General features: G+C 43.8%; 1 protein-coding gene across 16 annotated transcripts in view; it reads right to left on the reverse strand.

Annotated features, from left to right (window-relative positions):
- The window catches only part of ADGRG2 (adhesion G protein-coupled receptor G2), a 133,650-nt gene that overhangs the window by 72,554 nt on the left and 47,130 nt on the right, over positions 1-13,966 (reverse strand). For all 16 annotated transcript variants that reach the window (XM_006724455.3, XM_047441758.1, NM_001184835.2 and 13 more), the window contains one exon: positions 6,857-6,975. In XM_006724455.3, the coding sequence (XP_006724518.1) occupies positions 6,857-6,974 (118 nt within the window). In that variant the 5' untranslated portion in view covers position 6,975. The remainder of the gene's footprint in view (positions 1-6,856; positions 6,976-13,966) is intronic.

Consider the following 13,966-nt stretch of genomic DNA (forward strand, 5'->3'; position numbering starts at 1 on the left):
GTGAGCTCACCCAGTGCTGAGCCCTGAGTTCTCAATGGCCTCTCCAGAGACCTCCCTCATCCTGCAGGGCTCCTGGGTATCCAACTGGTGTCCACTGCTGAAGGCTGTGTCCAGTGGGCCCATGGTCTATTCTTCAGAATCCCATCCAGGCCTGGGGGGTCCTTCTCCTGCTAATACAGCTCCCTTGAGCTCTCACCACTGAATGTCTGTCTCATCCTCCATCTGACCCCTGGCCTAGGCTGTCCATGCCATAGTCTTTGCAGCCCTGTCCCCACCCCTGGATCTCATCACAGCTACCCACTAAGAACATGAGGGTACTTTAGAGTCCCTACTCTACCACATGAGAGCTGAGAGAGACTTGGAGGGGACATCATCTCCCAGAGGAAACAGTTTTGCCACTTCATCTCTGCAACTGCCCTGTGCTGACACACAGGGCCCATAAGGAGTCCTTACCTGGAGTTCCAAGTGGAGAGTGGGACACAATGCCCTCTGCTTTCAGTTTCCCCTGCAACCTATCTATGATAGACTCTCCATCACTCCCCATCACCACTTCCACCTGCTAGGGAAAGAGCCAGGGTCCAACAGACATGGCCTCATGCCTGGGTGCAGGTAGTAAGATTTGGCAGGGGTCAGTGGGGGTTGTGAGATTGGCTGAGCATCAGATCAGTGCCATGGTAAGCATTTATAACCTCATTTGTACAGACAGGGGATTGAGAGAGAATGAGGAGACCAGGACAGGGTCTGGTATTAGAGGACAAAATGAAACAGAACAGGTTTCCCGCCTCTCAGGAGCACGCAGCCCATTTCCTGCAGCTCTACCGACTTCCTCGCAAGGAAGACCAAGGACTCAGGTGAACACAGCAAGAGAGGATAGGAGGAAATCAGACAGCCAGGCCTCAGAGAGGGGAATTATAGAGGGACTCATCGCTGGAAATGCCTGCAGCACAGAAAGATCTAGACCCAGCCCAGAGAGAAAGTTGGGGATTGTAGCTCATGAGATCACCAAACTGGCTCAAATGTGTAATTGTTTCCAAATGAGGAAGACAACTCTGCAAGAATGAAATTATAACCATCTTCCACTATTATGTCATCTGCCCCTCTGGAAAATAGAATAGTTGTATCTAAAAGAAGACCTCCTTCAAAGATTTAAAAAAAAAAAAAAAGGCATTGGTACCGCCCAGGAGAGCTGGAGGCTGGAGGTGCCAAAACCCATTCTGGTAGACCAAGAATGAGCCCCTCAAATGTCACCAAATCACACAACTGAAAGTGTTAAGGTCCACGGGCTCTCTCTGTTGGCTAGTGGCCTGACGAGAGAGTGTCATCCCACCTCTCCCTGCCGTCAAGAGCTACTGAGTCACCTCTCAGGCTTCCAGGGTGAAGCTACTGTGTTTACGGTCCAGATCTCCCAGAGCCCCGGGTCGGGGGAGCTGCTGCTCTCTAACAGCTCACCCCAGGCTCCCTCTCCACTCCCCTAGCCCTGCACCTCAGTGACATGCTCATTCAGTCCCCAGACACTTACTGAGGGTGCCCTGGGCAGCCTGGTGTCGTGTGAGTAGTACAGGCTACAGATTCTGATGGGGAATCTTCCTAGCTGTGGGACCTCTAGGCAAATGCCTTCATTTGTTTGACAGTTTCTTTGTCTGTAAACCGAGATGAAAACTACCCACCGGAAAGAGGTTTTGTAAGGATTAAATGAGATAATGTGCGTAAAGCACCTGGAAGAGTGGCCCTGAGCAGGCTCTCAGTGCCCATCAGCTTCCCTCCCGTGAGTTCGCCACCCGCCTCGCCAACCTTTTGTCTGGCACTGACCGCACACTGCAAGGACTCACAGTACAAAGGAAGCCCGTAATGAGTGTGACACAAAGTGATATCCCCAGGTATGGATGGATAAAGAGAAGCAAGCACTGGGGAGGGGGATTTAATTCTTCCGAGGTCAGGGCAGGTTTTCTAGAGGTAGTAAGATTTGGCCTCAACTTTGGAAGGGGAGTTTCCCAATAGGGAGGGTCCCCAGAAGCAGAGTGGGGGAATATGCAAGTGAGACAGACAAGGGGGTGAATCCGGAAATGGGCACATTCATGAGCAGATGAGTATTATGGGGTACAATGCAACTGGGGAACTCTGGGAGATAACATAGAACACATCTGAGTGTGGTCCCACCAAGGGACAAGGAAGCTGGCATATTTAAATACCAACTCCCATTACTCACTGTTTGGGGGTGTTATCTCCCTGGCACTTCTGGTTTGTCCCGCACATGGGCCAAGCACACTCCCATGGACATAGATGATCCTCAGGGAGACATGAAAGCCGTAAGCATCCACAGGAACTGTCTGCAGGTGACCCCTGGGGTGGGCCAAGGGGGTATAGGCAGGGCACCAATAGCATCTGCTATAGGTGGCTTAGCATCGAATTAGACTAATCCACAGATCTGGCCACAGGCCATATGTGAGTGCCCTATAGCGCTGACTCATACTTTAAGACTTATAGTTTGTATTGTTCTCATGCGTCATAGTCACGGCCCTCCAACTGCAGTGTGAATTCCCTGGAGTCAGAGACGATGTTCTCAGCAGCCAGTACTGCTGGGCACACAGCAGGCAATCATTATCGCACAATTGATAACCCAGTGGAGAAGTGGCAGGTCAGTCCCCTTGGCCTTCAAAAACCAGGCCTGAGCCATCCTGAACTAAAAGAACCCCTGCCCCAGTCCAAAGCTATTGGAGGAGGCGGTGCCTATGAACCACCTGGGTGATCCAGAACAACATTGATTCTCACAATTATGGATTCCATCTTTATTTTTAATCTACAGATTCACAACTACCAAGCAACTGAGCCTAGCATAGCAGAGAGGTTAAGAATGTGAAAAGGCACCATAGTATAGAGGTCCAACATACAAGCTTTGGAGCCAGATGGCCTGAATTTGAATTGTAACTCTGCAACCTCTTAATTATTTGACCGAAGGCAAGTTGCTTAACTCCTCTGTGCCTCAATTTCCTCACCTGTAAAATAAGCTGATAATAGTGCCTTTTTCAAGGGGTTATAGAGTGGGCTTTAAATGAATTAGCCATTTGTAAGGGCTTAGAACAGTGGCTGGCACATGGTGAGTGCTATCAAGGTGATTATTCAGTAACATGAGCAGGGCGTGGTGGCTCACATCTGTAATCCCAGAACTTTGGGAAGCAAGGTGGGAGCATCACTTGAGCCCAGGAATTCGAGACCACCCTGGGCAATATAGCGAGACCCCATCTCTACAAAAAATTTAAAAAATTAGTTGGGCGTGGTGATGTCACCTGCAGTCCCAGCTACTCCAGAGACTGAGGTGGAAGGAACACCTGAGCCCGGGAGGTTGAGACTGCAGTGAGCTGAGATCGCGCACTCAAGTCTGGGCGACAACAAGATCCTGTCTCAAAAAAAAAAAAAAAAAAAAAAAAGTAAAGAAAAGAAAGAAAAAGAAAAAAACAAAAACAAAAACAAAATAAATAAATAACATGAATAAATACTCTTACTGGGCGTTCTGAGAGACAGGTGATGCCAGTGCTACTTGTCTGTCACACTTTGGGAACCACTGCTTTAAGAAATCAATTCATCAGAGATCTGGAGCAAGAAATGCAGTCAGCTGCCTTGAGTGATCACTCAGCTTTTCCCTACTTAGGTTTGTTTCAGAGCCATGCACTTTCCTATTTACCTGCCCCTGTTGTTGGCATTTTAAAACATAATTTTTCAAAAAGACATATTTCTAACAAACAGCTTTCATTTGGATGAATTTTTTCCCTTGTGTTCCACTTTCCTGCCTCATCTACCCCTGTGGTGGAAAAAGCACCGAAACGTGAGACTGAAGATCTAGCATCTAATCTGGACTCCGCCACTTCCTAACCAATAACCTCCCTGGGGACATTTACTCATCAGTAAAGTGGGGACTCTTGAGTTTTGCCCTGCCAAGCCCACAGTAATGTTTCAGTGCCCTAAGGAGATGGTGCGTGTGAGAATAGTTTAGATTTTATTTTATTTTTTGTTTGAGAGTCTCGCTCTGTCACCCAGGCTGGAGTGCAATGGCATGATCTCAGCTCATTGCAACCTCTGCTCCCGGGTTCAAACAATTCTCCTGCCTCAGCCTCCCAAGTAGCTGGGATTATAGGCGTGCACCACCACGCCCGGCTAATTTTTTGCATTTTTAGTAGAGACAGGACTTTGCCATGTTGGCCAGGCTGGTCTCAAACTCCTGACCTCAGGTGATCCACCCGCCTCGGCCTCCCAAAGTGCTGGGATTACAGGCATGAGCCACTGCACCCGGCCATTATTTCTTTCTTTAAAGAATGGCGGCTTTTTGACAACGTGCCCCAGTACCTACTTTTTAAAGGATTGCCAATTGTGTTATAGCTTGTTGGGAAGTTTTCCATTTAGTCTGTGTATTTGTATGTGTGTTTTATTTGTTTGTATGTTTTGTTGTTTGCTGCTAGTAGATTTTTATCTTATGCAATAAAGATTCCTTGGTCCTGCCACCCACTTCTGAATAAGAAAGTTATTTCGTTGTGTGTCCTTGATGTCTTAAGTATCAATCATTTCCTAGTCCCATTCCTAATGAGGATGCTTCTTTTTTTTTTTTTTTTTTTTTTTTTTTTGAGGCAGGGTTGTACTCTGCCACCCAAGCTGGACTGCACTGGTATGGTCACTGTTTACTGCAACCTCCGCCTCCTGGGCTCAAGCAATCCTCCCATCTCAGCCTCCTGAGTAGCTAGGAATACAGACACCCGCAACCATGCCCGGCTAATTTTTCATGTTATTTCATTTTTGTAGAGACGGGGTCTCACTATGTTGCTCAGGCTTGTCTTGAATTCCTGGGTTCAAATGATCCTCCCTCCTCAGCCTCCCAAAGTGCTGGGATTACAGGTGTGAACCTCCTAATGAGGATTCTTTACACTTGCCTTTGGCAGTTGTGCCCACAGAAATTGCAGGCCCAGCATTGCTGGTCTTTCAACTGCTTTTCTCAGATGCCTTTTCTTCTTGTTCCATGAACTTCTAAAGATCCCCCTTTCCGAAAATACCAGGCTGCTTCATCTGTCTGATTCTCTACCACCTTTAAATTTCCATATGGTTGTACCTTCAAGTAGATACATTTAAAAACAAGTAAACACCAGAAATAAACCCTCATCTATACGGTCACTTTGAGGCAGGAAAATAGGGTCTGGAGGCAGGGAACATAAGGCCGATTCACACTTCAGCTATGACAGGAAATATCCTCACCATAGGGTGTATGCTGAGTAAATGACTTTGTAACTTTACTTCATCCTCTTCATTTACATAGGGCATACACCAAGTAACCAATGGAAACTCCCACAAATTCTGTAACAGGGACTTTGAGCCCCTGTGCTCGGGCCACTCCCACACTGTGGAGTGTACTTTCATTTTCAATAAATCTCTTCATTCCTTCCTTGCTTTGTTAGTGCGTTTTGTCCAATTATTTGTTCAAGATGCCAAAAACCTAGACACCCTCCACTGGTATAACAAAGTGATTTTTGACAAAGTTGCCAAGACCATTCAATAGCAAAAAGGCAGTCTTTTCAAGAAATGTGGCTGGAAAACAATACCCACATGCACGAGAGTGAAGTTGGACCGTTACCTTATACCATATACAAAAATGATAAATCGATCAAAGGACCTAAACATAAGAGCTAAAACTATAAAATTCTTGGAAGAAAACATAGGGGAAAGTCTTCATGATATTGGATTTGGCAATGATTTCTTTGATATAACACCAAAGCATAGACAACAAAAGTAAAAATAAATAGACTACATAAAATTAAAAGAATTTATGCATGAAATGATACTATTAAGAAAGTGGAAGAAACACCCCACAGAATGGGAGAAAATATTTGTAAGTTATATATCTGATAAGGGATTAATATCCAGAATACACAAAGAACTTCAAAACTCAACACCAACAAAAACAACCCAATTCAAAACTGAGCAAAGGACTTGAATAGACACTTCTCCAAAGAAGATATACAAGTGGCCAATAAGCACATGAAAAGATGCTCAATATCACTAATCATTAAGAAAATGCAAATCAAAGCCACAATAAGATACCACTTCACACCCATTACCAAAACAACAGGAAAATACAAGCATTGTCAAGAATGGGAGACACTGGAATTCTTGTGCCTTGCTTGTAGAAATGTAAAAGGATATAGCCACTGTGGAAAACAGTTTAGCAGTTTCTCAAGATGTTCAACACAGGGTTATATGATCCAGCAATTCCCTCCTAGGTATATACCCCAAAGAAATGAAAGCAGGGACTCAAATAGTGATTTGTACACCCATGTTCATAGCAGCATTATTCACAACAGCCAAAAGGGGGAGACGACCCAAATGCCCATCAATGGATGAATGAATAGACAAAATGGGTCAATGCATACAGTGAAACATTAGCTGTTAAAAAGAATGAAATTCTGATACATGCTGCAACATGGGTGAACCTTGAAAACATCCTAAGTGAAATAAGCCAGGCACAAAAGGACAAATATTGTATGATTCCACTTATCTAAGGTACTTGCAATAAGCAAATACATAGAAAGAACAGGAACAGAGGTTACCAGGAAGGGGTGGGGGGGAAGGAAATTGGGAGTTATTGTTTAATGGATATAGAGTTTCTATTTGGGATGATGAAAACGTTTTAGAAATGGATAGCAGTGACAGTTACACAAAATTGTGAATGTACTTAATGCCAATGAACTGTACACTTAAAAATGGTTAAAATGATAAATATTATGTTATTTTACCACAGTAAAAAAATCCTAAATAACAAAAAAATACACACATGCAGATAAACAGAAAAAAAAAAAATGAAGAAAAACAGACACATTACCTTCCAGGGATGTTACCAGAACGACATGAAGACAAATGATGACAAGGAATATCTTGAACGTCAGTAAAACTTCTTCAGTTCTGCCAACATGGCCACACTGCCTGACAGAGAAAACCATCCTGGAATAAAGTAAGGAGAAGACAGATCATCACAGCTGCCATAATCACAACACAGCAATACCTCAAAGGTCATTCCTCAACCAAGGCAACCTGTGATCCTGTGCACTTCAAATTGCTATGGTTCCAGAGAATCAGAAACGCCAGTTGGGCACTGGTGACAACAAGCAAAACCCATGTTTATTATGGGAGGGTTGCCCAGTAGGATGTTATACTTAGAAGCAAGGTAGTCCATGTGGATTTATGGAAAACATCAACACATGCAAAATAACAAGAGAAGGAATAAAAAACACAAAATGTTACATCATTATTACCATTACACAGAATCTTTTCAATAATTATCCTTCTCTATGTCATTTTTCCTTAAAAAAATTTTTTTTTAAAGAGATAGGGTCTCGCTATGTAGCCCAGGCTGGAGTGCAATGGCTGTTCACAGGTGCGATCATAGTATACTGTGGCTTCAAGCAATCCTCCTGCCTCAGGCAGCACCACTGTGCCCAGCTCCTATTCATGTTTTTTTTGTTTGTTTTTTGTTTTTTTTGAGACGGAGTTTCGCTCTTGTATGTTTTATACTGTAAAAGGATAAGTGATATGGACAGGAGGCAGGGAAATATTGGGTAGAAGAGTGTGGCCCTAGACAAGGGCCACACCCTCAAGCCTGGACCCGCAGCCAAAAGTGAGAACATGCATTCTCATTTCCCTGCCCGAATGTTGCCTTTTCCAAAACCACCCTGGCCTGCCCTGCCCCCAAATCCTGTACCCATAAAAATCCCAGGCCCCACTGGCAGAGTGGCAGAGGAGAGAAGAGAAGTAGCCGGACCTTGGAGAGGAGCAGCTTGACTTCAGAGGGATGGCTTGACAGTGCGACTTCGGAGGAGTTCAGCCGCAGATGGCCGAACTCCAGGGGAAGACCACCTTCCCACTCCATCCCCTTTCCAGCCACCCATCCCACTGAGAGCCACTTTCATCAGCAATAAAATCCTCTGCATTCACCACCCTCCAATTTGTTCTTACAACTTCATTACTCCTGGATGCCAGACAAAGACCTTGGTGCAGGTGCAAGAGGCTGTCACACTGACCCTCCACTGAACTGTTTAACACTTACACTGTCCAAGGATGGCAATGCTAAAAGAATGCGCGGTAACACATGCCCTCTGGGGCTCGGGGGTCGCGGGCAACCTGTAGACGCTGCTGTGGGCCTGCACAGAGTCCTGCTCCTGCTGGTTGCCCAGAAGCACTCAACCTGGCCTCTGTACCCACTCACCTGCGTGCTCCCCCTCCCACGAGGGGTTGAGAGCTGTGGGCTGAGTAAGCGAGCCACTCCTTCATGAATCCCACAGAGGGGTCAAGGGAACTATCCAGTTTCATCAGTACATTGCATTTCCTTTTTGTTGCATATTATTTTATCATCATTGCTTGCATTTCAGTAGTTTATATCAGAATTGAATTTAAAAGCCTCATTTACCATTCATTCATTTATTCATTCAACAAATATTTATTGAGGGCCAATATGTACCAGATGAGATGTGAGGGCTGAATAGGAGTGAACTAGATGAAATGCACGTGCTGGAGGTGGGGCAGGGGCTAGGGGAGAGTTCAGCACACAGAAAGAATTGCAAATGCTAAGACTGTGTCTGATCCTCTCATGTCTGGGAGTTGGCCAACATTACCCCAAGATGGGCAGTCAGCACTAGGAGCAGAGGCTGGCGTGGGGTGCTGAGAAAGGAATCACTCATGGGCACAGGCACAAGCAAGGGGGTGGCGAGAGCCAACTGGGCAGGCTCCCTCTACACAGCCAGAGGGAAGTGGCTGGGACAAACCAGGCTGTGTGTCCTCAGCTAGCAGAGCTCTCGGCCAAGGGCACTCATGAATCCAGCCACCACTTGCAGCTTCTGCAAGCCCTAGAGTGAGTGTGAATACACAGTGGTGAAGACTAAAGAGCATGAGTTCAAAGGTCCCAACTTGGCCCCATAATATCTGAGTGACTGTGGACAAGTTATTTCCAATGGTCATGTTTCCCCATCTAGCAAACTGAGACAACAGCACCCACCTGATAGTGCTGTTGCGGTGAGTAAACAAGAAATCTTTGCACAGTGGCTGGCACTGTGAATGCACTGTAAATGTTAGCTGTGCTCTTCATTCATTCATTCATTCATTCATTCATTCAACAAATATCTATTTTGCACCTAGTATGTGCAGGATCAGGCAGTGCTGGGATTAAGGGGTGGAGGGCATGGAAAGAAAGGGGTTTTATAAGTCAGAGTTTCTGTCTCAAGGTAAAGCTGGCAATCTTTAAGAATTCTGTAATTGAATACTCATAACCAGCACTAGGAGAGTGATTCTTTCCTTGACCTGACATGATGATGTTTTAGACCAGGAGGTGAATCTTTCTCCTTCAGAAGAGGGCTTGCATATCTTAAATTAATAAATTGTATTATGTATTAATGCTAGAATATGTTAATCAATTATAAAAAGCCTCTAATTTCTCCCTCCTCTTTTAACCTCTCTCTGGGCATAATGGCATGTTATTGATCTTCCCAAAGGAGTCACTCAAATGAGGATGTTAACACAGTTGTGCAAAGATGTATCGATGTCTCTCTGGAGGAAAGATCTAAGTGTCTGCTACAGCTACACAAAACAATCTCAGTGCAGCTCAGAAATATAATGTTTGCCAAGGAAACCAGAGACAAAAGAGTGCTTATTGTACATAATTCCATTCATGAGAAACCGAAGCAGAAAAAACTAATTGATGTGGTGAGAAGTCAGGAGAAGGGTTATCCTTGAAAGGGAGGGAGTTATAACAATATTGGATGTGGGCACAAGGGAGGCTTCTGAGGTACCGAGAATATTCTGTGTGCCAATTACATGGGTGTGTTCAGTTCACGAAATTCACTGAGTTGTACACATATATGTATGCCATAAGTTTCAATAAAAAGTTTAAAAATTAACATTTTTTAAAGTTTTTGAACTCTGTCCCCCCTCCAAAAGCACTGCTTTAAAAAAAAAAAATGAAGGCATTATTGAGTGAACTTCAGTGCCACAGAAAATGCTCTCCTCTACAAATAGGCTTGACTGTACCTGAAACTGGTGGAGTTGACTTAGATTTAATTCACAAGTATTTAAGTGTAGCCTGGGGAGAGAGTATCAGAGTGGTTTATTTCTGGAAAGGAACTCAGAAATCACCTATCCTCGAACCCTCGTTCTACAGATGAAAGAGGTCCCATCATTGCAAGCTTGTCCAACCCTGGCCCCCGGGTCACATGTGGCCCAGGATGGTTTTGAATGTGGCCCAATACAAATTCGTAAACTTCCTTAAAACATTATGAGTTTTTTTGCAATTTTTTTTTTTTAACTCATCAGCTATCAATAGTGTTAGTGTATTTTATGTGCGGCCCATGACAATTCTTCTACCAATGTGGCCCAGAGAAGCCAAAAGATTGGACACCCCTGCAAGTCTAGGGGATGGGTCAAGGTCATTCAGCTATTTGGCAGAACCCTTACTCTTTCTACCAGAACACAATGCCAGCCTCCTGAGACTTTGTCTCCTTGTAAGTAAAATGTTTTGAGTCCATCAGGTGAAAGACATCAAGTTCAAAATGTTATTATACAATTTAAGAATGTCTAAAGACTCATTCTTGAGCTTTGCTAACTCGTAGGGCAGGACCTAAGTGGTGTACAAGATATGATCAAAGGCAAATTCGTGTACTCAGTGACTCAGTGTACATACACAGTGAGTGACTACTATGTGCTGTAACTGAGACCTCTGATCAAAATAAACTATGCCTTTTCACTACAGGCAGGATCTACTCAACTTCCAAATGCAGGTAGGAAAGGCCAGAATGAAAGATGACCCCAGCAATCATCTTGAAAAAAATATATAGATCAAGAACTTAATGCAGACTGCTTTCAGTTGTCAGATCTGGAATACGTTTCCTCAAGGCTGAACATATGTTTTTGGAGAAGTTTTATGGTATTTGAAATAATGTAGCTCCTACTGCCTTCTGCATAAACCGAGAATGTCCTATTAGGTCATAAAGTCTCTAGGATCACTAATCAAAGGGCAATCTGTGAAGTTTGAAACCTTTAGTCATTGCACATCAAAGCCATTTTTCTCTTTTTCAGCTGGAACATTGATATAGTTTGGATACGTGTCCCCATCCAAATCTCATGTTGAATGTTGGAGGTGTGAGCTGGTGGGAGGTGTTGGATCATGGAGGATCCTTCATGAATAGCTTGGGCCATCCCCTTGGTGATAAGTGAGCCCCAGAAGCAAATGCCACTATGCTTCTTGCACAGCGTGCAGAACCAGGAGCTAATTAAACCCCTTTTCTTATAAATGACCCAGTCTCAGGGATTTCTTTACAGCAATGCAAGAACAGCCTAACACAAACATCTATTCATCTTCTGGTGCAATCTGGGTTAGCTCAATGCTATCCAGGTCATCAACAAAGAGGATCTGAACAGCCACTGGTTCTTAGTAAATTTTTAAGGTGCTAAGGATGGCTAGGAAGATAGCAACAATTACAGAGAAAACTATTTGGTAGCATTTAAACAGTGAAACGTAGACCTTGACACTAGATTAAAGATGATCCCCAATTCATCTTTATCCAGGGCCCCCTTTTAGGTTGTGAACTCTGATGTAAATGGCAACCTCCCTCTAGAGTTGTACAGTGCACGAACTACATGACTATATGCCGTGGTGCTTCCACTCTAAAAACTCGTTCTAGAGCTCTTCAATTTCATTAAATAGTATCAGTATCATATTTTTGAAATATATATCATCAGTGCAACCTGTTATGCCAATAAATGATAAATCTGTCTTTAGATATAGAATAATCAAAGAATAATATTAGAAAGGGAGAAATAGCTTGATACCACCATAGGGCAGGTCTGTGTGAGGGTTATTCTCTGTTATCTCTGGTTAACTGGCATACTTTGATTATACCATAGCCACTATGATATAGACAATGATCAATATTTCTGACCTGAGTTATAAGAGGTATGATAATTGTTCCCTAAGTCTTCTAGAAAACTCTATGCTTTTGAGACATTTATACGGAGTCATATATGTTGGCTTACAAGACCACCACAAGGGGAAATGTAAAAAGAGAAGGACTGCAGGGGTTCTCAGTGTGGATAAAGTGAGAACAAAAAGTGAAAAAGCAGTTGATTTGGATTGTTCAATTCTCAAAGAAGTCAGAAAAAGAATCAGGAAACTGGTAAGAAAAGCATAATTAAATTTCTATTTGAACACTGCTCAATGACTTCGATACAGGAAATATCTCAGGGAAAAAAAAAATGTCTTCAGTGTTCCGGGAATATGTTGGGTTAGGTTAGTTAGATCAAACCTTGGGCTGAAGACAATTAAAAATCATGAATAAAATGCTAAAAGCATTTTCTTATTATTATTAATTATTTATTTTTTGAGACAGGGTCTCATTCTGTCACCCAGGCTGGAGTGCAGTGGCATGACCACGGTTCACTGCAGCCTCAACCTCGTGGGCTCAATTGATCCTCCTGCCTCAGCCTCCTGAGTAGCTGAGACTACAGGCATGTACCACCATGCCTGGCTAATTTTTTTATTTTTTGTAGAGATGAAGTTTTACCATGTTGCCTAGGCTGGTATTGAACTCCTGGTCTCAAACTCCTGGGCCTCAGCCTCCCAAAGTGCTGGGATTACAGGAGTGAGCCACCGCACCCAGCGCATTTTCTTTCTTCTTCTTCTTCTTCTTTTTTTTTTTTTTTTTGTTTGTTTGAGGCGGAGTCTCGCTCTGTCTCCCAAGCTGGAGAGCAGTGGCATGATCTCGGCTCACTGCAACCTCCGCCTCCCAGGTTCAAGCGATTCTCCTGTCTCAGCCTCCTGAGTAGCTAGGATTACAGGCGCCTGCCACCACACCCGGCTAATTTTTTCTATTTTTAGTAGAGATGGGGTTTCACCATGTTGGCCAGGCTAGTCTCGAACTCCTGACCTCAGTTGATCCACCCGGCTCGGCCTCCCAAAGTGCTGGGATTATAGGCGTGAGCCACCATGCCCAGCTGCGCATTTTCTTAAACATATCAAAGAGCTGGCCAGATAGAAAGGAATTGCCAGGCCAAAGGTGAAACTCAAGCAGGAACCCAGGTAAGTAATGTAAGCAATGAAGCCCACTTATACCTGTGGGTATGGGCCTAATGAGGCAAACCTGAGTTTCAAATATGACATATGAAAGAAAAGTTCAGAGACATGGAGAAAAGAAATACAATGTCTAACATACATTTAAACAAAATTCAAAGAGAGAATCAGTGTTTGGAATGATAATGACTAAGTGTCTCCAAATGGGTGAAAAACACCAATCCTCAGATTTAAGGAGCCCAAAGAATCTCAATCAAAAGAAATAAAAAGAGATCTACACCTAGATACATCATAGTGAAAATGAAAAAAAAAAACAAAAACAAAAACAGGAACATCTGAAAAATTGTCAGAAATACAAGACAGATAACCTTCAAAGGAGCAGCTGTTAGGCTGGGCATGCAGTGGCTCATGCCTGTAATCCCAGCACTTTGGGAGGCCGAGGCGGATGGATCACTTGAGGCCAGGAGTTCGAGGTCAGCCTGCCTAACGAGGCGGAACCCCCGTCTCTACCAAAAATATATAGATTAGCCAGGTGTGGTGGCGCCCACCTGTAATCCCAGCAACTCTGGAGGCTGAGGCAGGAGAATCGCTTGAACCTGGGAGGCAGAGGTTGCAGTGAGCTGAGATCACACTACTGCACTCCAGCCTGGGCAACAGAGCAAGACTTCGCCTCAAAAAAAAAAAAAAAAAAAAAAGAAAGAAAGAAAGAAAAAGGCTGTTAAGAAGCTGCTGTTAGACTGACAGCTATCTTCTCAGAAGCAACAATGGAAGCCAGAACCAGTGGAAGTCTATCTGCAGTGTGCCAGAAACAAACTGCCAACTTAGAATTCTGCTCTCAGGGAAAATATCTTTGAAGAATGAGGGCAAGATGAAGATATTTTC

The sequence above is a fragment of the Homo sapiens genome, chromosome X (genome assembly GCF_000001405.40).
Source record: "Homo sapiens chromosome X, GRCh38.p14 Primary Assembly".
Taxonomy (NCBI): Eukaryota; Metazoa; Chordata; class Mammalia; order Primates; family Hominidae; genus Homo; species Homo sapiens.